Consider the following 13,691-nt stretch of genomic DNA (forward strand, 5'->3'; position numbering starts at 1 on the left):
CTGCATCTCAAAAAAAAAGAATTATTTCTTCACTCGTATTGAGAAGCGTGCTATGGAAACATACAAGTCCAAATTATTTCGAAGTGAACAAGTTGTAGATGTTAGATACCTCTTGAGGTAAAGGTTTAAAACCAATCTTATATTAATAGTTGGCTTGTAATAAATGTTATTTTATTCTAAATTTAAGTAGTGATAAATATATGGGACGTTTTAGACCTAAAGAAGTGGGTCTTTGTGGCAAATTGTATTTCCTAAATGACTGCAACTATATTTCCCATCCCACATGTTTTTCTTACAATGTGACTTTGACACTCTTTCCAATAGGCAGGGTCTACCCATGTCCCTTCCTTGAATTTGGGTGGAGGCTTGACAGCTTTGATCTATGGTATATGGTGGATGTGATGCTTTCTGGTATCTAAGGCTAGGCTGCTAGAAGGATACAGTTTCTGCCAGGTTCGTTTCCTTTTGGGTTCTTGCTCTGGAGAAGGGCAGCTGTCATGCTATGAGGAGCCTAAGCTAACCTAAGCTAACCCACACAAAGGGACTACAGGTTGAACATCCCTAATCCAAAATGCTGCAAAATCCAAAATTTTTTTAGCACCAACGTGCTCAAAGGAAATGCTCATTGGAGCATCTTGATTTCAGATTTTCAGATTAGGGTTGCCCAGTCAGATATATATGAAAATATTCTAAAATCCCCCAAAATCAGAAATCTGCAATGCTTTCTGGTCCGAACATTTTGGATAAAGAATGCTTATCCTGTAGTTGGAGAGGACCGCATCAAGAAGAACGAAGGTCCCCAGCCAACAGCCAGCATCATGCGCCAAATGTAAGCGTGAGTAAGCCTTCAGATGATTCCAGCCCCAGCCTTGGAGTCTTCCACCTGAAGCCCCAGATGTTGTGGAGTAGAGATAAGCTGTCCCTGCTGCCCTGCCCAAGTTCCTGGCTCATAGAATCCATGCATAGATTAAATGGTTGTTCTATGCCACAAGTTTTTGGAGTAATTTGTTATATGGCCATAGTAACTGGGACAATGTTATTTTTCTTCCCATCTCAAAGGACTTTAATGTTGTCGTCGTAAATGGCCATTTTTGAGCAGATGTTTAGTGTGGACCTACTAGAATTCAGCCCTGGAGATGCAAAGGTGAATGGAACACAGTCTATTTCTTTAAATGGCACCACAGCCAGAAGACTGTTAAATTGACCTGTTACTCCTATATGTGTAAAGAGATTTCCAGAAAGACCCTGGTTGCTATGCTGATGAGACCTATAATAAAAGTGGGCTACTGAATCTAAGAAAACATTATACTACCCACTCGAGAGAAGGTGGCAGTATGGTTTCTCTAAAGCCCAGGCAGGCTAATTGGAATTTTTTATAGAGGTAAGTATGCATGTGAATAAAGAGAAAGACTTGATCTGGACTTTGAAAGACCCTAATAAAGTCTGTACAGGTAGTTATTTTAAAGTCACAAAGGGATTAAAGGAATTTACACTGTGTATAAAGAACTATCTTAGCCAGCGTGGTGGGGTATACTTGTAGTCCTAACTACTGAGGAGGCTGAGGCAGAAGGGATCGTGTGTGGCCATGAATTTGAGGCTGCAGTGAGCTATGACTGCACCTGTAAATAGCCACTGCACTCCAGCCTGGGCAACATAGCAAGACCCTGTCTCTAAGAAAATTTTTTAAAAAGTCTTAAAAAATAAAGTAGGGATAAAGCACCACTTCCATAATATTGGTAGAGTCACCAATATGAAGTAAGGAATTCATGGTGAAACCTTGAGGTTTCCAGTGGCATTGTTATCCCAGGCTGTAACACACTAAATCCCTGGAGATGAACTGCAGGAAGACATGGTGTGGCTCTTTGGTCAGAAAACCAATAGCGCATTTGATACGGGGAGGGTAAGAATGTGTTGAGAGTGATGTGAATGATATTTGCAGGGTGCTGAATCTGATCACATGAAGGTGTTCCTAGTGTGGCCGTGGCCCTGCTGGCTCTGTGTGCCAAGTGTTGTCAGAAAGAGCGTGGTAGAATGCTGTGTGGTGTTGTGGGGAAAAGATCGAACTTAGACCCTGGAGACCTGAGTTGGAGATGTGCTCCATCGTTTTACTGGTTTACCGCTTGTGAGCCCCTTAACTTCTCCGAGGCTTTACTATCCATAAAGTGAGACAGCTATACCTGCCTCAGCTCGTGAGTTCCTGTGGGGATCACAGGAGAGGATGAAAGTGAAAACTCTTGATACAATAACACAGCGTAGCTCTGCACGGTGTTTTCTTATGGGAAACAAACTGAAAACATCCTACCTGAATATAAAACTGATGTCTCTGATCCTGCAATCACAGTTGTGTAGAGTTATGGTCTTTGTTCTATCCGTACTGGAGAGGGTTGGGATAAGGGCCAGGGAAGAATAATTAAAATAATCATGGTTGTATTAGGCTATTCTTATCACTTGGGGCTGTTTGGTGAATTTCTCATCTGGAAAGAGTGCTGAGAAGCAGTTTATGATCAAGTCATAAAATCACGAAGAGTAAGGGCAGAACTAGAAGGTTGCCCGGTGAAATTTGAAAATCTCTAGCGTACCTAAACAGGACAGTGCTCCACAATCAGTACTAAATTTATGAAATTTATTATTCCCAAGTAGTAATTAAGTTAAAATTCATAATTACTATAGCTTCAAAAAAGTTTTAGGTGCGCTCCTGGACCTTCATCTGTTAGGACAAACTTAGACGTTGTGTGCTGTGCCTCTTCCCTTTCACAGGGGGCGCCATCATGCTGCACACTCCCACACCCCTCCTGGTGAGGGTCTGAGGCGGGATGTTAGGCTAAATGGCCATGAATCTGACTGTGTGTGGCGGTTTTTGAGAATTCTTAGCTGGGCCATGGTGTCACTGAGTGGCCTGTCTTTTCTGAGTTCCAGCTGTGTTAGGCGCCTCTATAACACGGAGCTAGACAGTCTGCCCAGGTTGGAACTTGTCAGCCTTACTCAAAACACAGCCTGTCTCATGAATCAAATTTGCATTTACATCCTACCACAAACCACCTTCCAATCATACTTTGGAACCGTGTTCAAACCCTGCCAAGGTGGTTTTGTCTTTAGTTTAAATTTGACTAACTTGTTAATGACAAAAGTCTATGCAAGTAGGGCTTTTGTTCTGACCACTTCCTAACTTGTTTATGTGTAGAGTGATTTTGTTACTCCTGTGATTTGGTTTTCCGAGTTGTGTTATTTCTACTACGTAATTCTTCCGCCTTGGAATAAGGAGAGTTTTAGGTATGTTTATATACACGGTGTGTAAAATTTTTAACCTGATGAGTCACTATGAAACAGATTCTAAGGGGCTGTTATCATTAGTCCAGATTTATTTTTTCAGAGAGAATTGAATTTAGTGTGCGTGATTTAATGAACTAAGATTTACAGTAAATTTAGATGTTTTTATAATTTATCACTTTTGTTTCAGTGGAAAATGAATGTTAACAGAAGGCTAGCCAAAATGTCTGTCTTTAAAAGATGTTTAGGAAAAGGCATATAAAACAGAGCAGAATTGTCCAGTGTTGGGTCAGTGATCAAACAGTGTGAACTTAAAAACAAAACTAGATTCAAACATAGCTGGAAAGGATTTTAGAGGTCATATAGTTCAATCCCTTCTTTCTGGTTAATCATGAGAAAAATGAGGTTCAAAGAGGTTAAATGACTTGCCCAAAGCCATGCAACTAGTTCCTGATAGAGCTGAAACTTGAACAGCAGTTTCTTACTGAAACTTGCCACTTCCTAATTAGTGGTTAAGGAGACACATTTTTACTTGGGTGGTGGCTTTTTGTTTTGTTTTTAGGTTTTACATTGAGGGGGGGATTAATATTTATTGAATATCTACTAGTTGTTAAGTACTTTAAAAAATATATTAGCTGGGCGTGGTGGCACATGCTTGTAGTTCCAGCTACTCAGGAAGCTGAGGCTGGAGGATCCCTTGAGCCCAGGAATTCGAGTCCAGCTTGGGCAACATAACAAAACCCTGTCTCTAAAAAATAGATATATATTTCTTCATGTAATTCTTACATAGCCCTGTGAAATACAGTCACGTGCCGTATAACAGCATTTTGGTCAGTGAGGGACCACACTGTTACATGATGGTAGTCCCATAAGATTATAATGCTGTATTTTTACTTCACCTTTTCTATGTTAGATACAGATGATTCTTGTGTTACAGTTGCCTACAGTATTCAGTACAGTTACATACTGTACAGGTTTCTAGCCTAGGAGCAAGAGGCTACACCACTTAGACTATGCCATCTAAGTTTGTGTAAGTACACGCTGTGAGGTTCACACAGCAACAAAATTGCCTAACGCTGCACATTAACAGCCCCACTTTACAGATTAGGAAACGGGTGCGAGAAGGTTAATACCTTGCTCAAGGTCATGTGGTTAATATTAAAGCTGGCATTTGAGCCTTTCTGACCTGTCCTGCTATGATCCCCACTGTGGCTACTAGTGATGGTAATTCTGACCTTTTCAGGGGTATGGGCAGCGGTGGTAGTTATCTTTAAAATATATCTTTTTCAGACTTCTCACTCTGTAAAATATGTAATTAGACATAGATATGTGTAGAGTGGCCTTTCTCAGAGGACCCGCAGCTCTTAGCAGTTGCTTGGCTAATCTTCATACCATCTCTGTAAGATAAACGGTGTTTTCTGGTTGGGTAGTTGAGGCCCAGATAGGCTCAGGGACTCACCCAGCGCCTTATCACAAACCCACACGGCCCAGCCCCCAGTTCCGTTCTTCGTCCTGTCTAGCATAGATTTCACCACTTTTGTTCTTTCCTGTCTTACACCAAGATTGTTTAAGTACTTCCCAAAAATAATGAGCCACGTGTGGGTGTGTTCGTTCTCCAGAATGAATCACTGTGAAAGAGGTTGTGAACTAACGAAATAAGCATAAGTATCTGGAAGCAGAGGCTCCTGACTATTCAGTCCCTCTAATTGGTGGGCTCTGGAGTGAGCGCTTTTCTGAAAGGCAACTGTGGGTTTGGGCTTGTGTCTCACTGTGCTCAGAATAGTCCTCTCTTGAAGTTGTTACTTTTCCCTTCTTGCTTCCCAAAATAGAACCAATGTTGTTCTCTTTGCTGGACATCACAACACAAATATTGAGAGGTATGCTTTCCATAGAGAACCCCTTTTAAAGTGCCTGAATGTCCCCACTGCCACAAAGGGGAATGGGAGTTAGCTTTCTTAAGATTCCAGTGTGAGTAAAAGAGCTTTGGATCAAGTATTCTGTGAGTTTCAGAAGTAAATGTAAAAGCAGAAAGAATAAGAGAGGGAGCAAACAAAGGTATTTGGAAGGGAAAATGAAGCGATTCCTTAGTCTTTTTTGTGTCTAAATGGGTTAGAATAAAAATTCAGGAGAAATTTACTTTTAAAAATCCCTTTTATGATTTGGATCCTAGTCTAATAGGCACCTACTTTAAATGTTCTGCCTTTAAGAAATAACACTACCCAAACTCTGAAGCAAGAGGCTGCATGTTTTGGAATTTCTCCCAGAAGAAAGGGATCTGATGAAACGTGAAAAAATACAACAGGCCATAAGTGAAGATCTGCACTGTCTACACTGTCTATCCACCTGCCAGGGCTGCCTCCTTGGTTTCCTCGGGTGGGACTAGCAAGGAATCGGCTCATTTATAGAAAGCCTAAGGAAGGAGGGGTTGGGCACTGAGATATTTAGAATCTGTCTTTGGATTTGAAAAGCCAAGAGATGCCTTTCAGAATATTGGAGGAAGAGACGAAGATAGACTGTGTACAGCCTAAATTGGTGAGTTATGACAGGGTGGCTTTTCATGGGACTGCCCATAAGTGTCTCATCTCCAGGGTCCATAGTGTGAATGCATTCCCACTTGTTATCCAGATAGTATTTACTTAGTGTGTGATCTGGGACTCAGTTGGGCCCCCACCACCTCCACCCGCCAATGTGTGAGTGCTTCCTTCAGCACTTCCGAGCCCCAGCCTCAGTGTTCTAGTGGGCAAAGCAACACTCCTGCCCATGCCAAGAGGTCAGAGCTAGGTTAGTCTCATGGGAGACAGTGTTGGGGAGAACCAACTGCTGCTGTCTGTGCTATTCTTGTTAGTTGAATAAATAAAGGATTTCAGATTCCAGGGCTGCTGAAGAGGCTTTCAGAGGCGCCAAATTCATTTGCAGTAATTTCCTGTCAAATGGGACACACTTATGTATGATAGTTACCCAGCAAAACTCATTAATCCCAGAGGTGATTGTGTACACTGCCTGTTTGAAAAAAATTCGTGTGTGTGTGTGTGCGCGCGCACACTCATGCGTGAATGCATGTGCATGCTATCCAGGGGCCTTTCAGGATGGGTTAAATGTATTGTGCACTTTTAATGCATTATCTCACTTAATTCTCACAATAACTTCATGAGGGAGGCTCTCAAGTTCTCTTTGGAGGATATCATTTTTGCCCCTCGTGAATGAGAGGGGCACCTGACTTGGACTTCTAAAGGCAGGAGGACAATAATGGAGTGGTCAGGGAAAGCTTTTCAAAAGAAGTGACATTTGAGTTGAATTTTGAAGGATATGTAAGAAGTAGGCAGGAAAAAAGCATTGCAGCAAAAGAATGTGTGAGAGCATGCATGCTGCAGGAAGCCGTGGGTGTGCTTGGTTCCTGCTGGGGGAGATAGGGCTGGTGATAGCTCCAGGAACCCTAGGTGGCTCTGCATGAAGTGGGGGGCAGCCCCACATTCTCCAAAAGGAAGATGCTTTCCTCTTGTCAGGCATCTCAATTTGAAGAAAAGGTAGTTCCTCTGTCTCTCACAGGCATAAAGTAGAGCACTTAGAGGATAATAGTGGAGCTTCAAAAGCCTTGTTTGTGAGCTAAATAAACAGGTGAAGTTGTGCTCAGTTAAGGATATCTTTTTGGCCCCATCTCTATAAAAACTGTTTTGGAACATCAAGTATGCTAAGGGATTATATTCTAAGTTTGGAAAAGGACCTGCAAAAGATCTCACCATTGATGTCAATGTCTGCTCCCCAATTTCCTGCAGCTCTGCTGTGTGCGTGCACCAGCTGCCTCCAGGCCAACTACACGTGTGAGACAGATGGGGCCTGCATGGTTTCCATTTTCAATCTGGATGGGATGGAGCACCATGTGCGCACCTGCATCCCCAAAGTGGAGCTGGTCCCTGCCGGGAAGCCCTTCTACTGCCTGAGCTCGGAGGACCTGCGCAACACCCACTGCTGCTACACTGACTACTGCAACAGGATCGACTTGAGGGTGCCCAGTGGTGAGTGCATGCCCTTGTTGGGCTAGTGGCTCAGCTTGGAGATAGGGTACCCCGTCATTTCATTTTTTTCTACTCTTGCCCACTCACTTGGTTTGACGATAAAGATGCCTTTTGGATGTTCCCGAAGGTGACAAAGGCTGGGGTTTCTCAGCAGTTGCTTTTGTAGATTAGAGGGTGAGGAAGCAGATTTTCAAGTTAGTCCCAGAGGTGCCCGCAGTGTTTAGAGTAGTGGCTTAGCAGCCATAGGCAGCGGTGAGGAGTGGAAGAACCAGGCAGGGATTCCCACGGGAGGATGTGGGACTGATCCAGAAAGAGATGGCCCCAGAGCCGAGCAAAGGTGACTCCTCAAGGGAGGATGATGGTTAGATGTGAGGAGGGACCAGAATAGGAAAAGGCCAGTGACCAAAGCCGAGAAACACCACATACCATCCTTTTGCAAGCCTACCATTCAGGAGGCATTACTGTGGAGCCCACAGGAAAAGGAGAGAAACTAAAGCAGAGCTTAGAGGAGCTGTGGGAAGTTAAAGGGCAGAAACAGGCATCTGTGTAGGGGCCTGAGGCGGGGATAGTACCACGAAATGCGTGAGGTGACAAAGTGGGTTGTGGGTTTGACTGTGGAAAGAGGTGCCTTAACTAAAGAAGTTGGGCATTTGAGAGCATCTAGGCAGCAAGACTAGCCCAGAAGATTAGAGAGATCAAGGGAGCCTGAACACATCGACAGGGAAAGGGGTCTTTTTCACTCTTCACTTTGAGGGGGGTGTTTTTACTCTTTCCCTTGTTTTTACTTCTCATTCTTTCCCTCTCCTCTCTCACTTGACTCAGGTCACCTCAAGGAGCCTGAGCACCCGTCCATGTGGGGCCCGGTGGAGCTGGTAGGCATCATCGCCGGCCCGGTGTTCCTCCTGTTCCTCATCATCATCATTGTTTTCCTTGTCATTAACTATCATCAGCGTGTCTATCACAACCGCCAGAGACTGGACATGGAAGATCCCTCATGTGAGATGTGTCTCTCCAAAGACAAGACGCTCCAGGATCTTGTCTACGATCTCTCCACCTCAGGGTCTGGCTCAGGTACCAAGTTCTTCAGGGCATCATGTCTGTGGTTGGCTTTCATCAGTTTCCCAGCAGGATAGAGTGCTTGTAGAGAAGGCTGGAGGCCCTGCATTTGTTTCTACCAGCATTGAGTCATTTGGTTTCCTAGTTCCCCTTCTTTTGGAGTCTGACGTGTAATAAGATAAGATAATGGGTTCACAGAAAATCTCTCATTCCGTGGGATTCCCAAGGTCTAGTACACAATTATCCACTACAGAAGTCCTGCCTCTCTAAGCTTTGCAACTGTACGTACATCTATTAAAATTCAGCTGGTCCCACCTGAGCAGTGGAGTGCTCAATTTCAGGGCCCCTTTTGAGAAACAGGAGTGTGCCAGATTCCTGTGAGGTGGTGACAGCTAATCATTGATCTCTGAGCAACCACAAGGGGAGTTTAAGGACATCCAGTAAAGCTTAGAGTTGGGATTTGGTGAATCATTGACTTGTACCAGTTGCCCAAGGGTTTTTGGTGGGGGTGAAAATAAAGGCAGTGTGGGCCTCCAGCATAGCATCAGCACTATTTCCTGTACTGCCTTTTGTTGACCAAGTCTTTCTCAGATGAGGGAAATGAACCAAACACTGGACCTTGGCATAAGACGAGAATTTAAGATAAAGGAGCTCGGGGTTGTTTAGGTCTCAGGGTATAGCTCAGCTAGCTATTAAATGTGAACATGAATGCAAAAGAATTTTTTTACTTACTTATTTATGTATTTATTTATTTAGAAACAGAGTCTTGCTCTGTTTCCCAGGCAGGAGTGCAGTGGCGCAATTTCCGCTCTCTGAAACCTCCACCTGCCTGGTTCAAGTGATTCTCCTGCCTCAGCCTCCTGAGTAGCTGGGATTACAGGAATGCGCCACCACAGCGACTAATTTTTGTATTTTTAGTAGAGACAAGGTTTCGCCACATCAGTCAGGCTGGTCTTGTGTTCTTGACCTCAAGTGATCCGCCTGCCTCGTAAAGAATTTTTTTAATGAAGATAAACCATTATTTTTGTGACAATGGTATTGCATTCCTTTTTTTTTTTTTTTTTTTTTGTTTTAAGATATGGTCTCGCTCTGTTGTTGCCCAGGCTGCAGTGCCATTGTGCAATCACAGCTGACTGCAGCCTTAACCTCCTGGGCTCAAGAGATCCTCCACCTTAGTCTCCTGAGTAGCTGAGATGTCAGGCATGTGCCACCAAGCCTGGCAATTTTTTTTTTTTTTTTTTTTTTTGTGGAAGGTTTCACTTTGTTGCCCAGGCTGGTCTCAAATTCTTGGCTTCAAGTCCATTCTTAAAAAAGAAAAAAAACATCCACAAAGATCACTGTTGCCATTCTAGCTAAAACGCAGAGGATCTTATTTGTGAGAACTTTGCGTGTTTTTATGTATGTTTCCTTGACGTGGGACAAGACTGTTGTTCTGTGGGGAAATTATGCCATCAGTCATGCCCAGACATTCTGCTTGACACGGGAGTACTTTGAGCTGTGACATCTCCTGAATTTCAGTGGCTTTGCTTTTATTAAGCTCTGCAGTAGAGAGCACCAAAATGATGGATATATTTAAAAGCTGCATATTTTTAGAAACAGCAAAAATCTAGGGCTTGTTCCTTGTTGAAAGAGGTAGGGCAGTGGTTAGAACCTCCTGGCTGACTGTGGGAATTGATTTGCTGCTAGAGGAGGGTAGATTGGGTTTTCCAAAGTCTTTTTAAGACCCAGACCAGCTGAAACAAGGGAAGGGCCATGGTAGTTGTTTAGTCGTCTGTGGTAAAATGGTTAATAACTATTTCCCTCTGAGTGGTTTAGTATATTCTTCATTCAGAATATGCAGAGCTTCCAAGGTGTTAGGTTTCTAATAATGTGGTTTTTAAAGTAGTAAGTCCATGCTGCTCATATGACTTTCAATTCATTTAAATAAGTATATACTGAATACCTTCTGGGTGATATGGTTTTAAACAGATTAGAAAGAGCCTGACCCGGCCAGGCGCGGTGGCTCACGCCTGTAATCCCAGCACTTTGGGAGGCTGAGGTGGGTGGATCATGAGGTCAGAGGAGATCCAGACCATCCTGGCTAACATGGTGAAACCCTGTCTCTACTAAAAATACAAAAAATTAGCCGGGCGTGGTGGCGGCGCCTGTAGTCCCAGGTACTCAAGAGGCTGAGGCAGGAGAATGGTGTGAACCTGGGAGGCGGAGCTTGCAGTGAGCCGAGATCACGCCACTGCACTCCAGCCTGGGCAACAGAGCGAGACTCCGTCTCAAAAAAAAAAAAAAAAAAAAGGCTGACCCAGGATTGGATCAGAGAGACAGGAATTGTTGGGAAGAGTCTCACAGAGGAGGGCACATTTAAAGGAGTCTTGAGGCCGGGCAGATCACATGAGGTCAAAAGTTTGAGACCAGCCTGACTAACATGGTGAAACCTCGTCTCTACTAAATACAAAAAATTAGCCGGGTGTAGTGGCACACGCCTATAATTCCAGCTACTTGGGAAGCTGAGGCAGGAGAATTGCTTGAACCCGGGAGGCAGAGGTTGCAGTGAGCCCAGATCATGCCATTGCACTCCAGCCTGGGCAGCAAGAGCAAAGCTCCGTCTCAAAAAAAAAAAAAAAAAAAAGGCCAGGCACGGTGGCTCACACCTGTAATCCCAGCACTTTGGGAGGCCGAGGCGGGTAGATCACCTCAGGTCAGGAGTTCGAGACCAGCCTGACCAACATGATGAAACCCCCATCTCTACTAAAAATACAAAAATTATCTGGGTGTGGTGGCGGGCACCTGTAATCCCAGCTACTCAGAAGGCTGAGGCAGGAGAATCACATGAACCTAGGAGGTGGAGGTTGCAGTGAGCCGAAATCATACCATTGCATTCCAGCCTGGGTGACAGAGCGAGACACCATCTCAAAAAAAAAAAAAAAAAGGAGTCTTGAAGAATGAGTTGGAATTTTTAAGAGAGGCGAGAGGGCAAAGAACATTCCAGGCCAATGAAAATACCTTGAGTAAAAAGACAAAGGCATGAAGGTCCACTGTATGTTTAAAGAACTTTTATGATGAGGAGACCAGCATGATGTGCTTGTGCTGGGGAAGCAGGGGGACGTCAGGCTGCCCCAGGTGTACAGGATCTTGAGGGCTGACCTTTATCTTCTAGGTAAGGGGCTTCTACTGAAAGTTTCCATGTGGGAAATGAATGTTCATTTTTTCCTTTGGAAGGAATTCTGGCAGTGGTGTGGAGGATGAATTCATTCACTACCAGCCTTCTGTTGGGAAGGGTGGGGTGAGGCGGGGTGTGTGTGGGTGCACAGGGCAAGAGCAGGCTGAGATGGGAGGCAAAAGACCTGTTGGAAGTCTTTTAGAGAAGGTCCAAAAGTAGGACAGGCGGACGGAGATGGAGAGGCGGGGGCTAATTTGAGAAACATTTTGGTGGTTCTATACTGTTGTCATTAAAAGCATAGATTATAGAGTCAGACAGTCCTAGATTTTAAGCCCTGCTTTGCCACTTACTGCTTGTATGAATTTGAATATTACATAACCTCCTCTTTGAGCCTTAGTTTTCTTGTTTATAAAATGGGGATGATAACAGCGCCTTACCTTCCAGGTGGTTTGGGGAAGTGAGATAATTTATGTAAAGCCCTTAGCATGGAGCCTAATACATAGTAAGCATGCAGTAAATGGTAGTTCCCATCTACCAGACCTAGGGATTAATAATGTATTAATTATTTGATTGGGGGTGGGAGTAAGACAGTTAAGAGTCACTTGTGATGGTAAGGGTGATTGGATATATAGAGATACATTGAATGAGTCAAATGAAGCAATGTTGAGTTTTATAAAGACAGTAAAGTTAATCTTAGACTAAACATAGATGGTCCTCCATTCTACATCTGGAGTTCGCTTGTGAGCAGAGCATTGCTCTCTTTGGAGATGGGAACCCATGGGCCGCACAGCACTGCCCTCTAGTGGCTAATAAGCAGAACAGCCAGAAGGTGGCCCCCAGCACATGAGCCCACACTTTCATGTTCTCTGCCCTCTTTCCTTCCTCCACCAAAATAAAGCAGATGTGGGTGGATCGGCCCACAGGTGGCTGGCTGAAGAGTTGGTAAATCTGGTCAAACATTTACATTCAAATCTATCATCCGTGCTTACTGAGAGGAGAAATTGCCTAGATAAGGAGTAGCTAATCATACACGTTTCCTGTTTGTGTTCACTCTTTCCCCATCTCTCCGCCTGGCTCAGCCCTCTGGTAGATTACCTAGAAATGTGTATGGGCAGCAGCAGCTCTCCATGGTTAATGGACAGCGTAGGATGAAGACACCATGTTAAGGGTGTTTCCGTTGTGCCAATTAGTGTGGGAGTTGGAAAATTTGTCAAATTTGCAATGTCAGGTTTCTTCCTATTCTTTGGTTCACAGGGTTACCCCTCTTTGTCCAGCGCACAGTGGCCCGAACCATCGTTTTACAAGAGATTATTGGCAAGGGTCGGTTTGGGGAAGTATGGCGGGGCCGCTGGAGGGGTGGTGATGTGGCTGTGAAAATATTCTCTTCTCGTGAAGAACGGTCTTGGTTCAGGGAAGCAGAGATATACCAGACGGTCATGCTGCGCCATGAAAACATCCTTGGATTTATTGCTGCTGACAATAAAGGTAAGGGCTGGGCTTGGATACAGCATTCCCAGATAGAGGATGCTAGAGAAAGTGCATAGCTATGGGGTGCACAGCTCTGTTTGCCTTCATCATTGTAACCCGTAGAAAGAAAACTTGAGTAAGGTCAAGGTTTCCATGCTTTCCTTAAAGTGTGGAGCCTTTTATTCCATGAAAAGGTTATACAAAAATCCAGGTTATCAAGCAAATAAACAAGCAGTTCTTACTCAGATAAACAAGATACACCCCCTCACCCTACCTGCTCAATTTCTCTTTCTCCACTCCCCCAAACCCACCTCCATTGTAGTTCCTGCAGGGGGTCCCGTAAGCTTATTTTGAAAATCACTAGGATGGGCTGGGCGCGGTGGCTCACGCATGTAATGCCAGCACTTTGGGAGGCCGAGGCAGGCAGATCACTTGAGGTCAGGAGTTTGTGACCAGCCTGGCCAACATGGCAAAACCCCATCTCTACTAAAAATACAAAAATGAGCTGGCCACGGTGACACCTACCTGTAATCCCAGCTATTCAGGAGGCTGAGGCAGGAGAATTGCTTGAACCCAGGAGGCGGAGGTTGCAGTGAGCTGGAGGTTGCAGTGAGCTGAGGTCGCGCCACTGCACTCCAGCCTGGGCGACAGAGCGAGACTCCGTCTCAAAAAAAAAAAAAGAAAAAAAAAATCCCTAGGATGAGGAATTGCGGCCTCAACCCTGGCAAGGAGGA

General features: G+C 44.4%; 1 protein-coding gene across 23 annotated transcripts in view, besides 2 other annotated features; it reads left to right on the forward strand.

Moving 5' to 3' along the window:
* The window catches only part of ACVR1B (activin A receptor type 1B), a 45,380-nt gene that overhangs the window by 16,526 nt on the left and 15,163 nt on the right, over positions 1-13,691 (forward strand). For 17 of the 23 annotated variants that reach the window (NR_182042.1, NR_182041.1, NR_182043.1 and 14 more), the window contains 3 exons: positions 7,041-7,280; positions 8,103-8,351; positions 12,745-12,975. Coding sequence is in view for 19 of the 23 variants with exons in the window: in NM_020328.4 (NP_064733.3) it covers positions 7,041-7,280; positions 8,103-8,351; positions 12,745-12,975 (720 nt within the window). In the remaining 4 variants the exon portion in view is untranslated. Of the gene's footprint in view, positions 1-3,760; positions 5,800-7,040; positions 7,281-8,102; positions 8,352-12,744; positions 12,976-13,691 lie in introns of those variants that run through there. The other 6 variants (NR_182044.1, NM_001412777.1, NM_001412784.1 and 3 more) reach the window with 3 other exon arrangements.
* Positions 12,447-12,496: an enhancer, noted in NCBI's record as "active region_6386". NCBI's record gives its function as "activates an Ori minimal core promoter by ATAC-STARR-seq in GM12878 lymphoblastoid cells {active_cell/tissue: GM12878}" and the evidence as "EXISTENCE:reporter gene assay evidence [ECO:0000049][PMID:35858748]".
* Positions 12,507-12,556: an enhancer, noted in NCBI's record as "active region_6387". NCBI's record gives its function as "activates an Ori minimal core promoter by ATAC-STARR-seq in GM12878 lymphoblastoid cells {active_cell/tissue: GM12878}" and the evidence as "EXISTENCE:reporter gene assay evidence [ECO:0000049][PMID:35858748]".

This window comes from Homo sapiens, chromosome 12, assembly GCF_000001405.40.
Source record: "Homo sapiens chromosome 12, GRCh38.p14 Primary Assembly".
Lineage (NCBI taxonomy): Eukaryota > Metazoa > Chordata > Mammalia > Primates > Hominidae > Homo > Homo sapiens.